Here is a 23,350-nt window from a genome sequence, read left to right on the forward strand (position 1 = left end):
CAAGCACATTAATCCTAGTTCTAGCTCTGCTTTGCGCTCGCTCCAGTTCTTGTATCAAATTCACTTCAAGCCACCCAGAGTAGTAGGTAGAGGAGTCATTCAGGACCGTGCTTATACTTCATTGTATCAAATGGGAGATCCAGTAATTTATAACCTATTGTTTCTGGAGCCTGGAGATGGCTCTGCATAAGATTTGCTGAAGCAAATTTTATTACATTAGAAGAGAACCTAGCTGGCTGCATCCTACACTGGAAGCTTTTAGATGCTAATAAGGAGGTCATGTAAAGGTCACAGAATGACTCTGGAATCCATTCCCCGCCAAGAAAGAATAATGACATTCTATGTTGGCCTCTTTTCATTTCCCTTTGATTTTGAGTAATAAATTCTCTCCTCACTTCCCAGCTGAACTGTTTGGGAGTCTCTATTCCCTAGAAAGACTCTGGTGACATACCCATCAGATTAAATTAGGTGAAAACTCTTTGGCCTTCATGAATGTTGAAGGATTTCAAAGGGCTAATGGAAATTCTTCTAGAAGTAACTGCAACCTCCGCCTTCCGGGTTCAAGCGATTTTCCTGCCTCAGCCTCCCGAGTAGCTGGGATTACAGGTGTCCACCACCATGCCCAACTAATTTTTGTATTTTTAGTAGAGACGGGGTTTCACCATGTTGGCCAGGCTGATCTAGAACTTTTGACCTCAGGTGATCCGCCCGCCTCAGCCTCCCAAAGTGCTGGGATTACAGGCGTGATCCACCGTGCCCAGTTAAACTTCAGTTTTTCATGTTCCATGCATAGGTCAGGGTCTTAGGGAGTGATTCATTCTAGCAGAACTCCCTGGATTTTAAGGCAGATGTTCCATTTATTAATTGACAAAGGAGGCATATTTCTCCCCTGGTAACCCAAAGATTTAGGTCATTTTCCCAGAGACTCCATTTCCACTGTGAGGGTTCTTGGAAAACTAAGCAGAGGATGAGGAAAAGTCTGTGAACAAGCTTGCTGGTCTTTCCCTGTCCTACAAAAGAGCATACCTCTTCTGTAACCACAAGGCCCTTTTGATTAGTCAAGGCTGGACAGACTGAGAGAGAGAGAGAGAGAGAGAGAGAGAGAGAGTGTGTGTGTGTGTGTGTGTGTGTGTCTTGAGACAGGGTCTCACTCTGTCACCCAGGCTGGAGTGCAGTGGTGAGATCAGAGCTCACTGCAGCTTCCACTTCCTGGGCTCAAGGGATCCTCCTATTTCAGCCTCCAGAGTAGCTGGGACTATACGAATGTTTTACCGCACCCAGTCCATTTTCTAATTTTTTGTAGAGATGAGGTTTCACTGTGTTGCTCAGGCTGGTCTTGAACTCCTGGCCTCACGGAATCCTCCTGCCTTAGTCTCCCAGTGGGCTGGGATTATAGGTATGAGCCACCTCACCTGACCTGCGACGATTTTTCAGCAATGTAATTTCTCTCTTACAGACCCACCTAAGCTGAAGATTCCCTTGAGAACAAGTACTGTCCTGTGGTTTCATGGCCTTTCTTCCATTTGTGGTTCTTGCGAAGTGGAATTTAAATGACATCTTATCAAGATGGATAAACCCTAGTTTCCCAGTGCTGGAATATAGAAAATGGATGGACAAGTAAATCCCACTCAGTACCCATAGGCCAGGCATGGGGACCTCAACACACCTGAGCCCCAGACATCACCTTTCATTGTGAGTAGCTCTGAGATGACACTTCTGCTGTTCCCAATTCCAGCATTAATTGGATTAGATAGTTATTTTATGAAGAATTTTCATATGCCACAATCCTGACCGTATCTTCAAGTGAACAGAAAAATTCTATTAAAAAGTCAACCTTCTGTCTCACTCTATTGCCCAGACTGGAGTGCAGTGGTGCAATTATGGCTCACTGCAGTCTCAACCTCCTGGGCTCAAGCAATCCTCCTGCCTCAGCCTCACAAGTAGCTGGGACTACAGGTGCTTGTCACCACACCTCACTAATTTTCCCATTTGTGTTACATGTGGATTCCACAGGACTGACTTCAAAAACTTGAGTATGCGTGCATTTTGGTATACACAGAAATGGGAGAGCTGGAACTAATCCCCCCATATACCAAGGGACAAATTGTATCTGTTTTTACAATTATGCAGTAGGAGACATTATGTTCCATGACAATGGTAATTTTTAATGACAGTTTTTAATTGAGTGAAATTACCATAAAAATAATAATAGTAGTAGCTAATATTTACTGAGCTGTTACTAGGTGCCTATAAATAGCATAGATTTTTAAATTCTCCATAATTCTTCCTTATTTCACTTAACCACTCTATCTTAAATTACTCATGCTTGCCTCAGTAGCACACATACTTAAGTTGGAACAACAGAGAGATTGGCACGGCCTCTGTGAAAGAATGACATGCAAATTTGTGAAGCATTCCATATTTTTTTAAAAAAAGAGAAAAAATTTACTCCCAGATTTTCACTGTGTTTGTGCATATAACCTTTTGTTTAGGTTGAATTATATCCAAAGATGAAATTTCCAGAAGTGAGATTACTGTGAGTCACAGGGCATGAGCATTCTTATTACCCTTGATGTAAATTGCAAAGCTTTCAGGCATGGTGGCTGTCAGCCTGTAATTCCAGCACTTTGGGAGGCTGAGGTGGGAGGATTGCTTGAGGCCAGGAGTTGGAGGAGGCAGTATAATGAGTCACTGTCTGTATGATTTAAAAAAAATTTCCAAGCTTTATGCTAGAAGGCTTATATACATTTTAAACACCACTAATACTACAAGAAAATGGCCATTTCACTGCACCTTTGCCCACACAGGTATTAAAATTTAACAAGTTATTTTCTGTGTGATAAATGAAAGACCTCATATTATTACTTTGTCACCCATTCTTTTTTCTTTTTTGAGACGCAGTCTCACTCTGTCGACCAGGCTGGAGTGCAGTGGTGTGATCTCGGCTCACTGCAACCTGTGCCTCCCAGGTTCAAGCGACTCTCCTGCCTCAGCCTTCTGAGTAGCTGGGATTACAGGCACATGCCACCATGCCCGGCTAATTTTTGTATTTTTAGTAGAAACGTGGTTTCACCATGTTGATCAGGCTGGTCTCGAACTCCTGACCTCGTGATCTACCCGCCTCGGCCTCCCAAAGTGCTTGATTACAGCTGTGAGCCATGCGCCCAGCCTATTTGTCACATATTTTATCTTTCCTTATGTTAGCTTATTAGCTTTATTTCTTTATTGTCCTTTTTTTTTTTTTTTTTGAGATGAAGTCTCGCTCTGTCTCCTAGGCTTCAGTGTAGTGGCACAGTCTCAACTCACTGCAGCCTTGACCTCCTAGGCTCAGGTGATCCTTCCACCTCAGTAGTTGGGACTATAGGCACATGCCACTATGCCTGGCCAATTATTTTTATTTTTTTATTTTTACTAGAGACAAGGTCTTGCTTTGTTTCTTAGGCTGGTCTGGAACTCCTGGCCTCAAGCAATCCCCCCACCACCCTCTCCCAAAGTACTGGTATTATAAGCATGAGCCACCATGCCTGGGGTATCTGTGTCTTTTCCATTTATTTGTAGAGTTACTTTGTCTTTTACTAATTCAATGATCTGTTTAATCTTTTATTAAATTATAAAAATAATAAATACTTTTAAATAAGTGAAAAATGTCCTTCACTCTTGAGACCCATAATCTTATCTCAGGAAATAATTGCAATTGAGAAAATGGGCCATATCCTTCAAGATACGTACATGGTGATTGAACATCACTTCATATTTTCATATTTCGTGGACATTTGTGCCAATACCTGTTGATCTAGCTTAATCCTTTTCATGGTTGCATAATATTTTATTATATGGATGTATCACAATTTACCAGTACCAGTCAACTGCTGGAGGCATTTAGGCTCCTTCTAATATTTGCTTTGAGCTCTTTATATAATTAAAAATTAACTCCCTCAGCCAGGTGTGGCAGCTCACACCTGTAATCCCAGCATTTTGGAAGGCTGAGGTGAGAGAACTGCCTGAGTGTAGGAGATCACCACCAACCTGGTCAACATAGTGACACTTTGTCTCTACTAAAAATAAAAATAAAAAAATGAGCTACACGTTGCAGTGCACACCTGTAGTCCCAGCTACTGGGGAGGCTAAGACTGGAGGATCACTTGAGTCTAGAAGGTTGAGGCTGTAGTAAGCTATGATCGCACCATTGCACTTTAGCTTTGCTAAGAGCAAGACTGCATTTCTTAAACAAAATAGAAATTAGATGGGAATATTGCTCAAGCCCTGGAGGTTGAGGCTGCAGTTAACTGTGATTGCACCACTGCAGTCCAGCCTGGGCGATAGAGCAAGACCCTTTCTCTAAAAATAAAATAAAATAAAAATTAACCTTCTATCATATTTCCCAGTAACACCTTCCCTCCTACATTTCTCCTAGAAGCCCTTAAATTTTGTTTTTCACATATCGTTTAAAACTTTTAAGTGCTGATGTCTGTCTCTGTCATCCCTCTTTTTTTTTTTTTTTTTTTTTAAATGTCTTTTTGTCACTTCTAGCTGGACCTACCATGAAAGACTTCTGAATCCAGGAAGAGAAACTGACTGGGCAACATGTTATTCAGGTACAAAAAGACTTGGACTGTAACTCAAAAATGATCAAATAATAGTGCATGCATCAAGTGCAATGGGAAGCTCTTCTGGAGAGGGAGAGAAGCTTCCAGTTAAGGTGACATTGAAGCCAAGTCCTGTAAGATAAGGAAGAGTTGTATGAGAGTGGGGAGGGAAGGGGGAGGTGGAGGGATGGGGATTGGGCTGGGATGGGATGGAGTGAGCTGCCCAGGCAGGGAAACCAGCACTATACAGACCTGAACAATGAAGATGGCACATTTTGTTCAGGGAATGGTGAATTAAGTGTGGCAGAAATGCTTTGTAGAGACAGTAATTTGCTTGTATGGAATTTTGCCCAAGAGACCTCATTACAGTTTCTAATTTTTTGATGTTATCATGCATCACTGCCCTTGTCAGATAGTATCATGATCACAATAACATCAAGCATAATATTTCATTGATTCTCACAAAAACAGGTGGGTGCCACAGTTATCCCCATTATATGCACAAAATGATGAAGACTTGGGGTTAATGAGCGATTTGCCCAAGCTCACCTGAATATTAAGACTGAGTCAAATGTTAGTCTGGTCTGACTTCAATGCTTGCCTTGTTCATGAGCACCATGCATTGCCTCTCCTATGCAGTTAAGCAGGTAGACAGGTGAGAGAAGAGCCCGTGTGATATCGGGGGAAATTCACCCCGATATTTCATGTAGGTTCTTTTCTGTTTTCCCTGACTGTTGGCCGGTCTGAGAAATAAAGGAAAAGAGTACAAAAGAGAGAAATTTTAAAGCTGGGTGTCCAGGGGAGACATCACATGTCGGCAGGTTCCGTGATGCCCCCCAAGCCGCAAAACCAACAAGTTTTTATTAGTGATTTTCAAAAGGGGAGGGAGTGTACGAATAGGGTGTGGGTCACAGAGATCACGTGCTTCACAAGGTAATAAAATATCACAAGGCAAATGGAGGCAGGGCAAGATCACAGGACCACAGGACCGGGGCGAAATTAAAATTGCTAATGAAGTTTCGGGCACGCATTGTCATTGATAACATCTTATCAGGAGAAAGGGTTTGAGAGCAGACAACCCACCTGACCAAAATTTATTAGGCGGGAATTTCCTTGTCCTGATAAGCCTGGGAGCGCCACGCGAGCCCAGGGCTTATTTCATCCCTTATCTACGACTGTAAAAGACAGCCGTCCCCAAAGCGGCCATTTCAGAGGCCTCCCCTTAGGGATGCATTCTCTTTCTCAGGGATGTTCTTTGCTGAGAAAAAGAATTCAGCAATATTTCTCCTATTTGCTTTTGAAAGAAGAGAAATATGGCTCTGTTCCACCCGGCCCACAGGCAGCCAGAGTTTAAGGTTATCTCCCTTGTTCCCTGAAATTGCTGTCATCCTGTTTTTTTTTCAAGGTGCCCAGGTTTCATACTGTTTAAACAACTTGTGCAGTTAACGCAATTATCACAGGGTCCTGCAGGGACATTCATCCTCAGCTTACGAAGATGACCGGATTAAGAGATTAAAGTAAAGACAGGCATAGGAAATCACAAGGGTATTGATTAGGGAAGTGATAAGTGTCCATGAAATCTTCACAATTTATGTTCAGAGATTACAGTAAAGATAGGCCCAAGAAATTATAGAAGTATTAATTTGGGGAACTAATAAATGTCCATGAAATCTTCACAATTTATGTTCTTCTGCCGTGGCTTCAGCCGGTCCCTCCGTTTGGGGTCCCTGACTTCCCGCAACACGTTTCTCTCTACTCACAGACTTCTGACCAAATGTGTGTGCAGAGTTTCTACACCAGTTCTCCAACTCTCTGGATACCAACCGCGTATCCCACAATTCCATTCTGACACTACCTAGAGTTAGCGCAGAACCCACAGGTTAGGGGCTCAGTCCCACAAGACCACTCTCACTTCAGATGCCAGTTGCAAGTCCTAGGTTGTCACCTGTATTTTGACCAACCAGTTAGAAATCAGGGTTTCCCATGACCCTCTTCTTGAGTTTAATTATTTACTAGAACAACTCACAGAACTTAGAAAAACAGGTTTTTTTCTTTCCTTTTTAAGAGACAGGGCCTCGCTCTGTTGTCCAGGCTGGTGTGCAGTGGTGCAATCATTGCTCATTGAAGCCTCAACCTCCAGGGCTCAAGTGATTCTCCTGCTGCAGCCTCTCAAGTAGCTGGAATTACAGGGTTCCCACCACCACATTTGGCTAATTTATTTTATTTTTTGTATAGATGGGGTCCTCTTATGTTGCCCAGGCTGGTCTCAAATTCCTAGGCTCAAGTGATTCCGCCCACCTCTGCCTCCCAAAGTGCTGGGATTACGGGCATGAGCCAGCGCATCTGGCCACCTTATTTTCTATTACTGGCTCAATGTAATGGCTCCATCTCAGGAACAGCCAATGAAAGAGATGCACAGGACAAGGTAAGTGGGGAGGGGCACAGAGCTTCCATGCCCTCTGTTGGGCACACTACCCTCCCAGGACCTCCTTGTGTTTAGCAACACAGAAGCTCTCCAAACCCTGCTGTTTGGGTTTTTATGGAGGCATGATTGATAAAATCATTGGCCATTGGTAGTTAAGTCAATCTCCAGTTCCTTTTGCCTCCTGGAGTTCAGCAGGTGAGGCTGAAAGTTCCAAGCCTCAAAAAATGTGGTTGGGGCCAGGTGCAGTGGCTCACTCCTGTAATCCTAGCAGTTTGGAAGGCTGAGGCACATGGACCACTTGAGGTCAGGAGTTTGAGACCAGCCTGACCAACATGGTGAAACCCCATTTCTACTAAAAATAACAACAATTAGTTAGGCGTTGTGAGACATCCCTATAATTCCAGCTACTCGGGAGGCCGAGGCAGGAGAATTGCTTGAACCCGGGAGGTGGAGGTTGTAGTGAGCTGAGATTGTGCCATTGCACTCCAGCCTGGGCTACAAGAGCCAAACTCCGTTTAAAAAAAAAAATGTGGTTGCTTTCTCTGGCAGCTAGCCCTCCTCCTGAAGCAGTCTAGGAGCTTGCAGCCACCCTGTTAGCTCAACAGCATCCCACATGCATTCTTACCATGCTGCAGATCTGAAAGACCTTAGAGGCCCTTGTGTCAGGAACCTGGGACTAAGACTAAATATCAAAACAGAAAATGCTCCTATTACCTCTGTCACGAAGGGCTTTATAAGAGCTTTGGAAGCTCTATGCCAGGAACCAGGGGCAGAGACCAAATGTATATTTCTTTTCTTATATTGGAGACAGAGTCTCACTCTGCCACTGAGGCTGGAGTGCAGTGATGTGATCATAGCTCACTGCAGCCTTGACCTCCTAGGCTAAAGCAATCCTCCCACCTTAGCCTCCCCAGTAGCTGGAACTACAGGCGTGCATCACCATGTCCAGCTGATTTTAATTTTAATTTTGTAAAGGCAGGGTCTTCCTATTTTCCCCAGGCTGATCTCTAACTCTTGGCCTCAAGCAATCCTTCCTCTTTGGCCTCCCAACTTGTTGGGATTACAGATGGGAGCCCCCATACCCACCAATCACAAGGATCTTTATAAGAGAAGGAGGTAGGAGAGTCAGAATTAGAGAAAGTGATGTGGTAATGGAAGAAGAGGTCAGAGAGGGAGATTTGAAGATGCTGCACTTCTGGCCTTGAATATCGAGTCACGAGGTAAGTCAAGGAATAGGGGTGGCTTCTAGAAGCTGGGAAAGGCAAAGGAGCACATTCTGTCTAGAGCCTCCCCCAGAAGGAATGCAGCTCCTCTGACACCTTGACTTTAGCCTTAATAGACCTAGTTGGGCTTCTGGCCCCCAGAACTGTAAGATGGTAGATTTGTGGTGTTTGATGCCACTAAATGTAGGGTACTTTGTTGTAGCAACAACAAAAAATGAACATGAAGCTGGGACCTCATGTTACAGTTGCTCACGCCTGTAATCCCAGAATTTTAGGAGGCTGAGGTGGGAGGATCGCTTAAGCCCAGGAGCTTAAGACCAGCCTGGGCAACATAATAAGACCTCATGTCTAAAAAAAATTTTTTTAAAAGGCCAGACGCAGTGGCTCACGCCTGTAATCCCAGCACTTTGGGAGGCCGAGGAGGGTGGATCATGAGGTCAGAAGTTCAAGACCAGCCTAGCCAAGATGGTGAAACCCCATCTCTACTAAAAATACAAACATTAGCCAGGTGTGGTGGTGGGTGCCTGTAATCCCAGCTACTCAGGAGGCAGAGAATCACTTGAACCCAAAAGGCAGACATTGCAGTGAGCCAAGATCGCACCCTTACACTTTAGCCTGGGCGACCGAGACTCCGTCTCAAAAAAAAAAAAAAAAAAAAAAAAAAGCCATGTGTTGTGGCATGCAGCTGTAGTCTCAGTTCCTAGGGTGGCTGAGGCGGGAGGATTGTTTAAGCCTGGGAGGTTGAAGTTGCTGTGAGCTGTGATTGCACCAGTGTACTCCAGCCTGGGCAATAAAGCAAGACCTTGTTTCAAAAAGAAAGAAATGAGCATGGTGGGAATGGGGACAGATGGCAGTGTTAAGTAGAGTGGTCAGGGTTGGCCTCATAAGTGAATATTGAGCAAAAGTTTGAAGCAGGTGATGGAGCTGGCCAAGGTGCTGAGGGAAGAGCATTGTAGGCTGAGTCAACAGGATAAAGGCATTAGGAGGAAACTCTCTGGTGTGTCTGAGGCTCTGAAAGGAGGCCAGTGGAGCAAAGAGATAGAGGGAGCGAAGTCAGCAAGGAGGCCAGGGAGTTGCTGGGCTGGGATCGGTACAGATCGTGTAAGCCCTGGGACGCTATTGCTGGGGCTTTGGCTTTTACTCTGACTAAAATGGGAACCACCGAGGGCTTCTGAGCAGAGAGGCGATGTGATCTGTCTCCTGATTTAAAAGCACGACCTGGCTGCCAAGTTGAGAAAGACTATGGGAAGATTTGGGTGGAAGCATGGGGGCCAAGCTGTGGCAACATCCCGCTGGGAGATGATAGTGATCCTGACCGGGTTCACGGTGGTGGTGAGAGATGGTCAGAGCCTGGATACATGTTGAAGTCAGTCAGTAGGATTTCCTGACAGACTGGATGTGAGCTGTGAGAGAAGGCAGTGGTCAAGGTTGAGTTTGATTCTGATTGAATTATTAAGTAATTTTAAAAAACACTACTGCCTTTCCCAATCCTACCAAGTAAAGGATGCTAGATAAAAGAAATCTCAAGTTAGGCCAGGTGCAGTGGCTCACACCTATAGTTCCAACAGTTTGAGAGGCAGAGATGGGAGTATGTTTTAAGGCCATGAGTTTGAGAGCAGCCTGGGCAAAACAGCAAGACCTCCTCTCTACAAAAATAAAAAAAATAAATTTAATAAAATAAATATAGCCAGGCATGACGGTATGTACCTATGGCCCCAGTTACTCATGTGGCTGAGATGGGCAGATCTCTTGATTCTAGGAGTTTGAGGCCAGCTTGGGCAACATAGCAAGACTTCTCTCTCTACAAAAATGAAAAAAATGCCTGACATGGTGGTACTTGCCTGTATTCCCAGGTATGGGGGCAGCTGAGTCAGGAGCATCTGTTGAACCCAGTTGGTCAAGGTTGCAGTGAGCTATGATTATACCACTGCACTCCATCCTGGGTGACAGAGTGGGACCCTGTCTCAAAATACAAATACAAATGAAATCTCAAGTCAGACCAGTCCCTTCTAGGCTATGTAGGCCTTGTAACCACATAGCTGCATGATCGGGTTTGTGTGGCTGTGGATGAGGAGACCCCTGTCCAATTGTTGGCTATGTAATCAGTTTATTTTTCGATATAGTAGTCAAATATATTTCATCATACTTGATGGTCTCAGATATGTATGGATTTTGGAATTCCCCTTGGAACAGGTTGTAACATCTTATTGGCTCCATAATTCCATAATTTTTTTAATCTGATGAGTTTTTAATAAGATCAGAATTGATATTAGACTACTTAATCGGTTTTGTTAATGAGAAAATGAAATTGTGTTGTTTGCATTTTATCCAAGATGGGTGTCATATTGGCTAAATCTCATCAATACTTGAACAAATGCAAAATTAGAGCTTCTTTATCATGAAACACGATGTAATTCTTGAAGAAGATGCCATTTCTTTTTTTTCTTTTTTTTTTTAAGATAAGAGTCTTTCTCTTGTCACCCAGGCTGGAGTGCAATGGTGCGATTTTGGCTCACTGCAACCTTCACCTTCTGGGTTCAAGCAATTCTCCTGCCTTAGCCTCCCGAGTAGCTGAGATTACAGGCGCCCGCCACCATACCCAGCTGATTTTTGTATTTTTAGTAGAGATGGGGTTTCACCATGTTGGCCAGGCTCCTCTGGAGCTCCTGACCTCAGGCAATCTGCCTGCCTCAGCCTCCCAAAATTCAAGGAGTACAGATGTGAGCAACCACGCCCGGCCTCCATTTCTTTTTTGTAGTCTTTAATAAACAGCTGCTATCATTGCAGACTTGCTATTTAGGCACTTAGGAATTTTTCACTAGAAGGCATGTAAATAAAGACCATGGGCATTTGTAATGAATTTAGCATTCATTCTTTGACTACATGACTGTCCCCAGAGCTGTAACTTTATTGAATTTTTTAGAAGCCATTTAGCTAGCAACTGAGCCTAACCAGCCACTCACCGTCATTATTCAGTGCTCTTTTATTATTGTCTATTTCTCCTCCAACTTGGCTGCACTCATAAAGTGATAAAAACTTGCATTTGTTTTCTTTCCTTTTCAGAGACAGCGTCTTGCTCTGTTGCTCAGGCTACAGTACAGTGACATGATCATGGTTCACTGTAGCCTCAAACTCCTGGGCTCAAGCGGTTCTCTCACTTCAGTCTCCCAAGTAGCTGGGACTACAGACATGTGCCACCATGTCCAGCTAATTTTTTATCATAGAGACGGGATCTTGCCACGTTGCTCCAACTGGGCTCAAAACTCCTGACCTCAAGTGGTCCTCCTGCCTCAGCCTCCCAAAGTGCTGGGATTACAGGCAGGCATGACCACCTGTGCCCAGCCCCCTATTATTATTATTTTAAATAATAGCTTTATTAAAATATTCACATACCATTCACTTTATTTATTGAAATCTGCAATTCAGTAGGTTTTAGAATATTCACAGAGCTGTGCATCGATCACCACAGTCACTTTTAGAACGTTTCATTACCCTATAGAGAAATCCATACCCCTCAGCCACTACCTCCTACTCTCCCCACCTACCTTTGCCCCCAGCCTTAGGCAACCATTGATTAATTTTTTTGTCACTATAGATTTGCCTAATCTGGACAAATAGAATTGTACAATATGTGATCTTTTGTGGCTTTTTTCCCCTCTTAGCACAGTGTTTTCAAAGTTCCTTTATGTCATAGTGTGTATCAATATTTCATTCCTTCTATGGCAGTATTCCATGGTAGAGACACACTGCATTTTGTTTATCTGTTCATCAGTTGGTGGATATTTGGGTTGTTTCCATGTATTCCATGTATTGGTCATTATGAATAATGCTGCTATGAAGATTGTTGTACAAGTTTTTGTGTGGACATATATTTTTATTTTTCTGGGATATATGCCTAGGAGTGAAATTGTTGCATTATAGGATGACTGTACATTTAGCCTTTTGAGAAACTGCCAGACTGTTTTCTAACGTGGCTACACCAGTTGGGTGCAATGGCTCACACCTGTAATCCCAGCTACTCAGGAGGCTCAGCTAGGAGGATGGCTTGAGCCCATGAATTCAAGACCAGCCTGGGCAAGATAGTGAAACCCTGTGTTGATTTTTTAAAAATCCAATTAAAATGACAAGAAAAGAAATACCCAAACAAAATGGTTACACGATTTTATGTTCCCACCAGTAATGTATGTGGGTTCCAATTCCTCCACATCTTCACTGACATTTTTTTTTCTAGATAGGGGCTTGCTCTGTCTCTCAGGCCGCAGTGCAATGATGCCATCACAGTTCACTGCAGCCTTGACCTCCCAGGCACAAGTGATTCTCTCATCTCAGCCCCCTGAGTAGCTGAAAATTACAGGTGTATGCCACCATGCCTGGCTAATTTTTATATTTTTTTTGTAGTGATGAGATTTTACCATGTTGCCCAGGCTGGTCTCATACTCCTGGCCTCAAGTGATCTGCCCACCTCAGCCTCCCTAAGTTCTGGAATTGCAGGCTGCCACCATGCCCGGCCTTCACCAACATTTGCCATTATCTGTTTTTTTTTTCTTCCTTTATACCTTAAAGCAGTATAAGAACAAGTGTCTTCAATTATAGGAAACAGTATAATCCCAGGGCATTGGGAGGCTAAGACAGGAAGATGTCTTGATGCCAGGAGTTTTTTTTGTTGTTGTTGTATTTGTTTTTGTTATTGTTGTTGTTGTTGTTTTTGACAGAGTCTCGCTCTGTCACCCAGGGTGGAGTGCAGTGATGGGGTCCACTGCAACCTCCACCTCCCAGGTTCAGGTGATTCTCCTGCCTCAGCCTCCCGAGTAGGTGAGACTACAGGTACACGCCACTACTGCCCAGCTAATTTTTGTATTTTTGATAGAGTCAGAGTTTCACCATGTTGACCAGGCTGGTCTCGAACTCCAGACTTCGGGTGATTTGCCTGCTTTAGCTTCCCAAAGTGCTGGGATTACAAGCATGAGCCACCATGCCCAGCCTGATGCCAGGAGTTTTAGACTAGCCTGGGCAACCTAGCAAGACCTTGTCTCTACAGAATACTTAAAAATTAGCCAAATGTGGTGGTGCCTGTGTATCGTCTCTCTCCCTCTCTTTTTTTTTTTTCTAACTTTTTGTGACATGGTCTGGCTCTGTCACCCAGGCTGAAGTGCAGTGGTGTGATCATGGGTCACTGCAGCCTGAAACTCCTGGGATCAAGTGATCAATCCTCCCACCTCATCCTACCAAGTAGTAGGGACCACAGGTGTATGCCACCCAGGTCTTGCTATGTTGCCCAGGCTGGTCGTGAGCTCCTGGCCTCAAGCAATCCTCTCACCTTGGCCCCCCACAGTGCAAGGATTACAGGTATGAGCCACCATGCCTGGCCCCTACCCTGCCTATTGAGAACCAAAAGAAGGATCCAAATTCTCCTTAGCTCAACTCGAGCCATTTCCTGATTGCTTCATCAGCAAGGAGCTGGTTATTGGGCTGTCCAGGCCTCCCAAGCAGCACAGAAATGAGGTGAAGGAGTTTTCCTGCTGCTCCACTCTGTAAGGAGTTGGAGGGTGATGTTTACTCGTTTGCAGAGAGAGATGCCTTGTAGGCACCTCAGGATGGAGAGGACCCTGATTCCAATGTCCTTTTTTTCTTTAGAAACAGGACCTTGCCCTGTCACTCAGGATGGAGTTCAGTGGTCCTATCATGGCTCATTATAGCCTCAAACTCCCAGGCTCAAGCAATCCTACCATGTCAGCCTTCCCAGTAGCTGGGACTACAGGTAAGCATCGTGACACTCAGTGAATTTTGTTTTTATTTTGTTGTAGAGATGGGACCTCAGTATGTTGCCGCGGCTGACCTTGAACTCCTGCACTCAAGGGATTTTCCTGCCCTGGCCTCCCAAAGTATTGGTATTACAGGCATGAGCCATTGTGCCCACCGTCTCTGGTTCTTAACCTTCTGCCTCCCTCTTCCAGTTTTAAAGAATGCTTGTAATTACATGGGCTCTCCTAGATACTCCAGGATAATCTTGTTTTAAGGTCAGCTGATGAGCAACATTAATTTTATCTGCACTCTTAATTCCCCCTTCCTATGTAATTGTGCTGTGTAACATAGGACATGAGCAATTGGTGGCGGTGGGGGTTATTACTTTGGCCACCACAGTAACTATTTTATGCCAGGTACTCAGCTAAGCACTGGTGAATTAAGCATGAATAACACACACTCCCTAATCTCCATCCATTCATGGGAGGAGCACCTCACCTGCCATGCTCCTGAGAATCTCGGGAGTCAGAGAAGTCTTCTATGAGGAGGTGATGCCAAAGCGGACAAGTGACAGAGGAGTCGAAGCTAGCTAGGAAGAGAGTAGAGGTTTAAGGGGAAGCATAGTATAAGCAGAGGATATTACCCACTTCAGAGACTCCCAGAGGAGAAAGAGTGTGCGTTGAAGGGGCAGATGAGGCTCAGTTGGACTCCATAGCAGATGAAATGGAGAGGGGCAAGCAGTGAGGCTGCCTTGCAAGGCAGGGCAGAGCAGGGGCTGTTAAGGAGTTTGGACTTAATCCCTGAGGCAAGGAGAAGTGATGTAAATGGGGGAGTAACATGATGAGATTCATGGATTAGAGACATGGCTCAGGCTGCTGTAGAGAAGGCGCCAGGGAGAGCAGATGGCTCAATGGGTGTGCAGGAGACCTCTCACTGAGTTTAGGGAGAGGTTTTTAAAACAGAAGAAGTTTGAGTAATTTAAATGATGATGGGAAGGAGCTAAAAGTGGGGGATAGGTTAAAGATACAGGAAAGTGGGAGGAAGAACTGACAAGTGAGGTTCCAGAGAGGGCAGGAGAAGAGGAGATTCCCATAGGGGGATTAACACTTTCTTTTCTTTTTTCTTTCTAAGACAGGGTCTCACTCTGTCGCCCAGGCTGGAGTACAGTGGCACAATCTTGGCTCACTGTAGTGTAGACTTCCCAGGCTCAAGGGATTTCTCCCACCCCAGACTCCCAAGTAGCTGGAACTACGGGTGTGCACCACCACCACACCTGGCTAATGTTTCTTTTTTTGGTAGACACAGAGTCTCACTATTTAGCACTGATTGGTCTCCAACTCCTGACCTCAAGCGATCCTCCTGCCTAGGCTTCCCAAATTGCTGGGATTACAGGCATGAGCCACAATGCCTGGCCTCTGCTAGTTCCGTACTCTCTAGAGTTGTCTTTACTTTGTGCTAGCGTGTCCCTCATTGTGCTGATCCTCTGTAAAAATTAATACCTTTTTTTTTTTTTCGAGACAGAGTTTCACTCTTGTTGCCCAGGCTGGAGTGCAATGGCGCTATCTCGGCTCAGCGCAACCTCCACCTGCCGGGTTCAAGCAATTCTCCTGCCTCAGCCTCCCGAGTAGTTGGGATTACAGGCATGTGCCACCATGCCCAGCTAATTTTGTATTTTTAGTAGAGATGGGGTTTCTCCATGCTGGTCAGGCTGGTCTCGAACTCCTGACCTGAGGTGATCTGTCTGCCTTGGCCTCCCAAAGTGCTGGGATTACAGGCATGAGCCATTGTGCCTGGCCAAAATTAATACTTTTTATATTAAATTTACATATATATATGTTTTTTCTTTTTGATACCGGGTCTCACACTGTCACCCAGGCTGGAGTACAGTGGCACAACCTCTGCTCACTGCAGCCTCCACCTGCCAGGCTCAAGCAATTCTCCTGCCTCAGCCTCCCGAGTAGCTGGGATTACAGGTAAGTGCCACCACACCCAGCTGATTTTTGTGTTTTTTGTAGAGACGAGGTTTCACCATGTTTCCCAGACTGTTCTCAAACTCCTGAGCTCAAAGCAGTCCACCCACCTTGGCCTCCCAAAGTGCTGGGATTACAGGTGTGAGCCATCTTGCTCATTCTAGTTTAAACTTTTGAGTGGTTTGTGTCTCCTGATTGGACTCCTACAAATACAGAATTGATGCTAGGAAGGGTACCAGGAGATAGATGCACACAGATGGGATTTGGGAATAGGTTTGGTTATCCAAGGAGCAGTGCTGAGCTCCTTGCTAATGGGATATGGGATGCTGGTGATTTCCAGGAAGTGACCTCACAATGACTCAAGCTACCACATACTGTTGATTGTGAAATGCCAGTTGAAGCATATGTCCTGCGAGCTTAGGGGTGCTACAAGTTGACCACTGCAGCAGTAAAGATGACTCTGAAGAATGGCATGGGATGGATCCTTTCGAATGCACTTGAGCAGCAGTCTCCAACCACAGGGCCACAGAGCTGGAGGTGAGCAGCAGGCGAGTGAAGGGAAACTTCATCTGTATTTCTAGCCCCTCCCATCGCTTGCATGACCACCTGAGCTCCATGTCCTGTCAGATCAGCAGCAGCATTAGATTCTCATAGGAGCACAAACTCTGTTGTGAAATGTGCATGCGAGGGATCTAGGTTGTGTACTCCTTATGAGAATCTAATGCCTGATATTCTGTTACTGTCTCCCATCACCCCAGATGGACAGTCTAGTTGCAGGAAAACAAGCTCAGAGATCCCACTGAGTCTACGTTATAGTGAGTTGTAGAATCATTTCATTATATATTACTATGTAGTAATAATAGAAATAAAGTGCACAATATATGTAATGCACTTGAATCATCCTGAAATTATTCCCTCACTCCCAGTCTGTGGAAAAATTGTCTTCCACACACTCACTCTGTTTTTTGGTAGAGGCAGGGTCTTAATATATTGCCCAGGCTGATCTCAAACTCCTGGTCTCAAGTAATATACCTCTCTCAGCCTCCCAAAGTGCTGAGATTACAGGCATAGGTCACCACCCTCAACCAAGACTTTCTTAAACCAGATAAAAATTAAGTGAGATTACTTGAGCCCAGGTGGTCAAGGCTGCAGTGAGCCTGATTGCACCACAACTCCAGCCTAGGTGACAGAATGAGACTGTCTCAAAAAATAAAATAAAATAAAATACAAATTAACCCTTTATGACATTCCCAGTAACTTTCCCTCCTAAGTGTTCCCCACAAGTCTTTGAATTCTGTTTAATTTTCACATAACATTTAAGACATGTAAGAACTTATGTCTGTCTGTGTCATCCCTTTATGTCAAAAGATGTCTTTTTGTCACTTCCAGCTGGATCTACCATGAAAGACTTCTGAATCCAGGAAGAGAGACTGACTGGGCAACATGTTATTCAGGTACAAAAAGATTTGGACTGTAACTTAAAAATGATCAAATAATAGTGCATGCATCTAGTGCATGCATCAAGTGCAATGGGAAGCTCTTCTGGAGAGTGAGAGAAGCTTCCAGTTAAGGTGACATTGAAGCCAAGTCCTGAAAGATGAGGAAGAGTTGTATGAGAGTGGGGAGGGAAGGGGGAGGTGGAGGGATGGGGAATGGGCTGGGATGGGATAGCGCAAACTGCCCGGGAAGGGAAACCAGCACTGTACAGACCTGAACCACAAAGATGGCATATTTTGTTCAGGGAATGGTGAATTAAGTGTGGCAGGAATGCTTTGTAGACACAGTAATTTGCTTGTATGGAATTTTGCCTGAGAGACCTCATTGCAGTTTCTGATTTTTTGATGTCATCATCCATCACTGTCCTTGTCAAATAGTTTGGAATAGGTATAATGATCACAATAACCCCAAGCATAATATTTCGTTAATTCTCACAGAATCACAGGTAGGTGCCACAGTTATCCCCATTTTATGAATGGAGTGATGAAGCCTTAGGAATAATGAATGATTTGCCCAAGCTCGCCTGGATATTAAGACTGAGTCAAATGTTGGGTTTGGTCTGATTTTAATGTTTGCTTTGTTCATGAGCACCACATATTGCCTCTCCTATGCAGTTAAGCAGGTAAGTGACAGAAAAGCCCATGTTTGTCTCTACTCACACACTTCCGACTGAATGTATGTATGGAGTTTCTACACCAAATTCTTCAGTGCTCTGGATATTAACTGGGTATCCCATGACTTTATTCTGACACTACCTGGAGTTAGCACAGACCCCACAAGTTAGGGGCTCAGTCCCACGAGGCCATCCTCACTTCAGATGCCAATGGCAAGTCCTAAGTTGTCACCGTACTTTTGACCAACCTGTTACCAATCGGGGGTTCCCATAACTGTCTTCTTGGGTTTAATAATTTGCTAGAACAGTTTACGGAACTCAGAAAAACAGTTTATTTTCTTTTTTTCTGAGAGGGTCTTATTTTGTTGCCCAGGCTGGTGTGCAATGGTGCAGTCATAGCTCATTGCAGCCTTGATTGTCTGGGCTCCAGTGGTTCTCCCACCTCAGCCTCCCTAGTAGACATGCCTGCACCACCACATCTGGCTAGTTTCTTTTATTTTTTGTATAGATGGGTCTTGTTGTGTTGGCCAGGCTGGCCACAAATTCCTGGTCTCAAGTGATCCTCCCACCTCAGCCTCTGAAAGTGCTGGGATTACAGATGTGAGCCACCACATCTGGCCAGTTCATTTCCTATTACTGGTTCATTGTGAAGGATACATCTCAGAAACAGTCAATGAAAGAGACGTGCATGCTGGATGCAGTGGCTCATGCCTGTAATCTCAGCACTTTGGGAGGCCAAGGTGGGAGGATCGCTTAAACTCAAGAGTTTGAGACCAGCCTGGGCAACATGGTGAAAACCTGTCTCTATAAAAAATTTAAAAATAATAATAATAACCGGTGTGGTGCTGTGCACCTAGAGTTCCAACTACTAGGGAAGCTGAGTTGAGAGGATACCTTGAGCTGGGGACTGGGGAGGCTTAGGTTACAGTAAGCTGAGATTGTGCCACTGCACTCTAGCTTGGACAAAAGAGCCTGATCCTGTCTCAAAAAAAAGAAAGATACCCAGGGCAAGTTAAGTTCGGAGGGGCACAGAGCTCCCATGCCCTCTGTTGAACATGCGACCCTCCCAGCATCTCCTGTGTCCAGCAACCCTGAAAGCTCTGCAAACCCCGTTCAGGGTGTTTATGGAGGCTTTATTATGCAAGCATGATTGATAAAATCTTTGGCTGTTGGTGATTAAGTCAGTCTCCAGCCCCTCTTCCTCCTGGAGTTCAGTGCACGAGGCTGAAAGTTCCAAGCCTCTTACCATGTGGTCGCGTGGTAATCAGCCCTCCTCTTGAGGAAATTTAGGAGCTTGCAGTCACCCAGTCATCTGAACAACATCCCCAAATGCATTCTTACCATGCTGGAGATCCCAAAGTTCTTAGAGGCTCTTGTGTTAGAAACCTGGGACCAAGACCAAATATTAAAACAAAAGATGTTCCTGTCACATCTATCACTGAGGTCTTTGTAAGAGCTTTAGAAGCTCTGTGCCACGAACCAGGGACAGAGATTAAATATATATTTCTTTTCTTTTTTTTGAGACAGAATCTCCTGTGTCATCCAGGCTGGAGTGCAGTGATGTGATCATAGCTCACTATAGCTTTGGCCTCCTGAGATCAAGCAATCCTCCCATCTCAACCTCCCAAGTAGCTAGGACTCCACATGCATGTCACCCATGCCCAGCTCATTTTTGTAGTCAAGAGTTTCGCCATGGTGGCCAGGTTGGCCATGTTGGCCAGATGGGGTCTTCTTTTGTTGCCCAGGCTGGCCACAAATTCCTGGGCTCAAGTGATCCTCCCACCTCGTCCTTGTAGAGATGAGATTTAGTTATGTTGTCCAGGCTGATCTCAAACTCCTGGGCTAAATCGATTGTCTCACCTCAGCCTCTCAAGTAGCTGGGACTACAGGCGCATACCACCATGTCGGGCTAATATTTATTTTTATTTTTTTCTAGAGGTGGGGGTCTCACTGTGTTTTTCATGCTAGTTTCAAACTTCGGGCCTCAAGTGTTCCTCCTGCCTTGACCTCCCAAAGTGTTGGGATTCTGGGTGGGAGCCACCATGCCCAGCAATCACAAGGGTCTTTATAAAAGAAAGAGAGTAGGAGATTCAGAATTGGAGCAGGAGATGTGGTGATGAAAGCAGAGGTAAGAGAGGGAGATTTGAAGATGCTTCACCTCTGGCTTTGAAGATGGAGTCAGGGGCCATGATCCAAGGAATGGGGGTGGCTTCCAGAAGCTGGAAAAGCCAAGGGAACATATTAGAGTCTCCAGAAGGAATGCAGCCCTGCTGACACCTTGACTTTAGCCTTAATAGACCTAGTTTGGGTTTCTGGCCCCTGGAACTGTAAGATGGTAGATTTGTGGTGTTTTAAGCCACTAAATGTAGGAAACTTCAAACTATGTTGCAGCAGCAAGAAGAAATGAACATGAAGCCAGGCATGATGGCTCATGCCGGTAATGCCAGCACTTTAGGAATTTAGGCAGGAGGATCACTTGAGGCCAGGAGTTCAAGACCAGTCTGGGCAACATAGTAAGACCTTGTCTCTACAAAAAATGAAAAAATTGGCCAGGCGTGGTAGCTCACGCCTATAATTCCAGCACTTTGGGAGGCCGAAGCGGGCAGATTACCTGAGGTCAGGAGTTCGAGACCAGCCTGGCCAACATTGTGAAACCCCGGCTCTACTAAAAATACAAAAAATTAGCTGGGCGTGGTGGCACGCACCTGTAATCCCAGCTACTTGGAAGGCTGAGGCAGGAGAATCACTTGAATCTGGGAGGTGGAGGTTGCAGTGAGCCGGGATCGCACCGTTACACTACAGCCTGGGCAAGAAGAGTGAAACTCTGTCTCAAAATAAAATAAAATAAAATAAAATAAAATAAAATACTAAAAAATTTAGCCAGGCATGGTGGCATGAACCTGGAGTCCCAGATACTCGGGAGGCTGAGGTGGGAGGATCGCTTGAGCCTGGAAATTTGAGGTTGCAGTGAGCTGTGATTTCGCCACTGCACTCCAGCCTTGGTGACAGTGAGATCTTGAAAAAAAGAAAGAAGAAAGTAAAGAAAGAAGAAATGAGCATGGTGGGCATGGGGACAGATGGCAATGTTAACTAGAATGGTCAGGGGTGGCCTCCTAAGTGAAAATTGAGTAAAGACTTGAAGGAGGGGAAGGAGCTGGCCAAGGTGCTGAGGGAAGAGGATTGTAGGCAGAAACAATAGAATAAACTGTCTGAGGTGTGTCTCCGGCTCTGGAAGGAGGCCCATGGAGCAGATGGAGAGAGGGAGAGAATTGGGGGAGGGAGCCAGGGAGTTGCTGGGTGGGGATCAGTACAGATCACATAAGCCCTGGGAGGTTATTGGTGGGGCTTTGGCTTTTACTCTGACTCAGATGGGAACTGCGGGAGGGTTCTGAGCAGAGAGGCGACGTGATCTGTCTCCCGATTTAAAAGCATTCTCTGGCTGCTGAGTTGAGAAAGACTGTGGGAAGATGTGATAGAAGCATGGGGGCCAAGCTTTGGCAACATCCAGGCGGGAGATGATGGTGGTCCTGACCAGGGTCGTGGTGGTGTTGAGAGATGGTCAGAGGGGAGAACTAGGGGAGGAGGCCAGGGAGTTGCTGGGTGGGGATCTTTAGTAGATGTCGAAGACAATCAACAGGATTTCCTGACAGACTGGATATGGGGTGTGAGAGAAGGCAGGGGTCAAGGTTGAGTTTGATTGTTACTGAAATTATTAAGTAATTTTAAAAAACACTACTGCCTTTCCCAGTCCTACCAAGTATGGGATGCTAGATTAAAGAAATCTCTTCAGGCTCATTGCAGTGGCTCATGCCTGTAGTCCCAGCTGTTTGGTAAGCAGAGGTGCGAGTATCTTTTAAGGGCAGGTGTTCAAGACCAGCCTGGACAACACAGCAAGATCTGCTCTTTACAAAAATATTTTTCAAAATTAAATAAATGTAGCTAGGCATGGTGATGTGTACTTGTAGTTTCAGCTACTCAGGAGGCTGAAGTGGGCAGATCTCTTGAGGTCAGGAGTTTGAGGCCAGCTTGGGCAACATAGCAAGACCCCTCACTCTACAAAAAAATTAAATAACCAGGCATGGTGACACTCAACTGTACTACCAGCTACTGGGGAGCTGAGGCAGGAAGATGGCTTGAGCCCAGGAAGTCGAGGCTGCAGTGAGCTGTAAGTGCACAGCTGCACTCCAGTCTGGGTGACAGGACCTGTCTCACAATACAAATAAAAATACAAGTAAAATAATATCTCAAGTCAGAGCCTTTTGGCTCTGCAGCCCTTGCAACCCCTCAGCCGTGCAGTGGGGTTTGCGTCGCTGGGAATGAGGAGACCCCTGCCCGGTGTTGTTGCCTGACTAATCAGTGTTTTAAAACATATATTAATCGGGGTGGGCGCGGTGGCTCACACCTGTAATCCCAGCACTTAGGGAGACCCAGGCGGGTGGATCACCTGAGGTCAAGAGTTCAAGACCAGCCTTGCCAACATGGCGAAACTCCTTCTCTACTAAGAAAATACAATAATTAGCTGGACGTGGTAGTGGGCGCCTGTAATCCCAGCTACTTGGGAGGCGGAGGTAGGAGAATCGCTTGAACCTGCGGGGCGGAGGTTGCAATGAGCTGAGATTGCGCCACTTCACTCCCACCTGGGCGAAAGAACAAGACTTTGTCTCAAAGAAAAAAAAAAGTATTATATCAACATGTCATGGTTTTATTATTAATATGTAATGAATATTAAATATTTTTAAAATCTTGTATTATATCAACATGTAATGGCTTTAATATGTGATGAATAATATTTAAAAAATTGTTTCTTATTTTCTAGTTTTAATATAATTATCTACAGAAAGAAATAGTCTTAGAGATCTTCAATAAAGTTAAAAAATGTCAAGGGATGTTAGACCCCAAAAGATTGAGAATTTCTAGTTTAGAAATATTCAGAGTAAGCCACATACAACTTGCTACTTGAACTATTTTTTTTCTTTGTTTTTTATTTTAGGAGATGGGGTCTCACCCTGTCACCCAGGCTTGAGTACAGTAGTGCTATCACAGCTCACTGCAGCCTTGAACTCCTGGGCTAAGGATCCTCCTACCTGAGCCTCCTGAGTAGCTAGAACTGTAGGTACACATGACGATACTTGGCTAATTTTTAAATTGTTTTGTAGACATGGGGTCTCACTTTGTTGGCCAGGCTGGTGTCAAACTAATGGCCTCAAGTGACCCTTCCACCCCTGCCTCCCATCCTAGAGGTATGTGCCACCACAAGGAGCACTTGTTCAATTTTCTAAAGAAAAAATTTCTAA

General features: G+C 44.9%; 2 pseudogenes across 1 annotated transcript in view; both read left to right on the forward strand.

Annotated features, from left to right (window-relative positions):
- LOC729218 (uncharacterized) overlaps positions 1 to 23,350 on the forward strand; it is a 43,282-nt pseudogene that overhangs the window by 12,384 nt on the left and 7,548 nt on the right. Inside the window, exons 4-7 of the transcript NR_109983.1 lie at positions 1,457 to 1,692; positions 4,531 to 4,595; positions 13,869 to 13,992; positions 17,336 to 17,400. The product of NR_109983.1 is annotated as an uncharacterized LOC729218, transcript variant 1 (transcript). The remainder of the gene's footprint in view (positions 1 to 1,456; positions 1,693 to 4,530; positions 4,596 to 13,868; positions 13,993 to 17,335; positions 17,401 to 23,350) is intronic.
- On the forward strand, positions 2,323 to 2,426 carry RNU6-1054P (RNA, U6 small nuclear 1054, pseudogene; annotated as a pseudogene).

This window comes from Homo sapiens, chromosome 4 (genome assembly GCF_000001405.40).
Source record: "Homo sapiens chromosome 4, GRCh38.p14 Primary Assembly".
Taxonomy (NCBI): domain Eukaryota; kingdom Metazoa; phylum Chordata; class Mammalia; order Primates; family Hominidae; genus Homo; species Homo sapiens.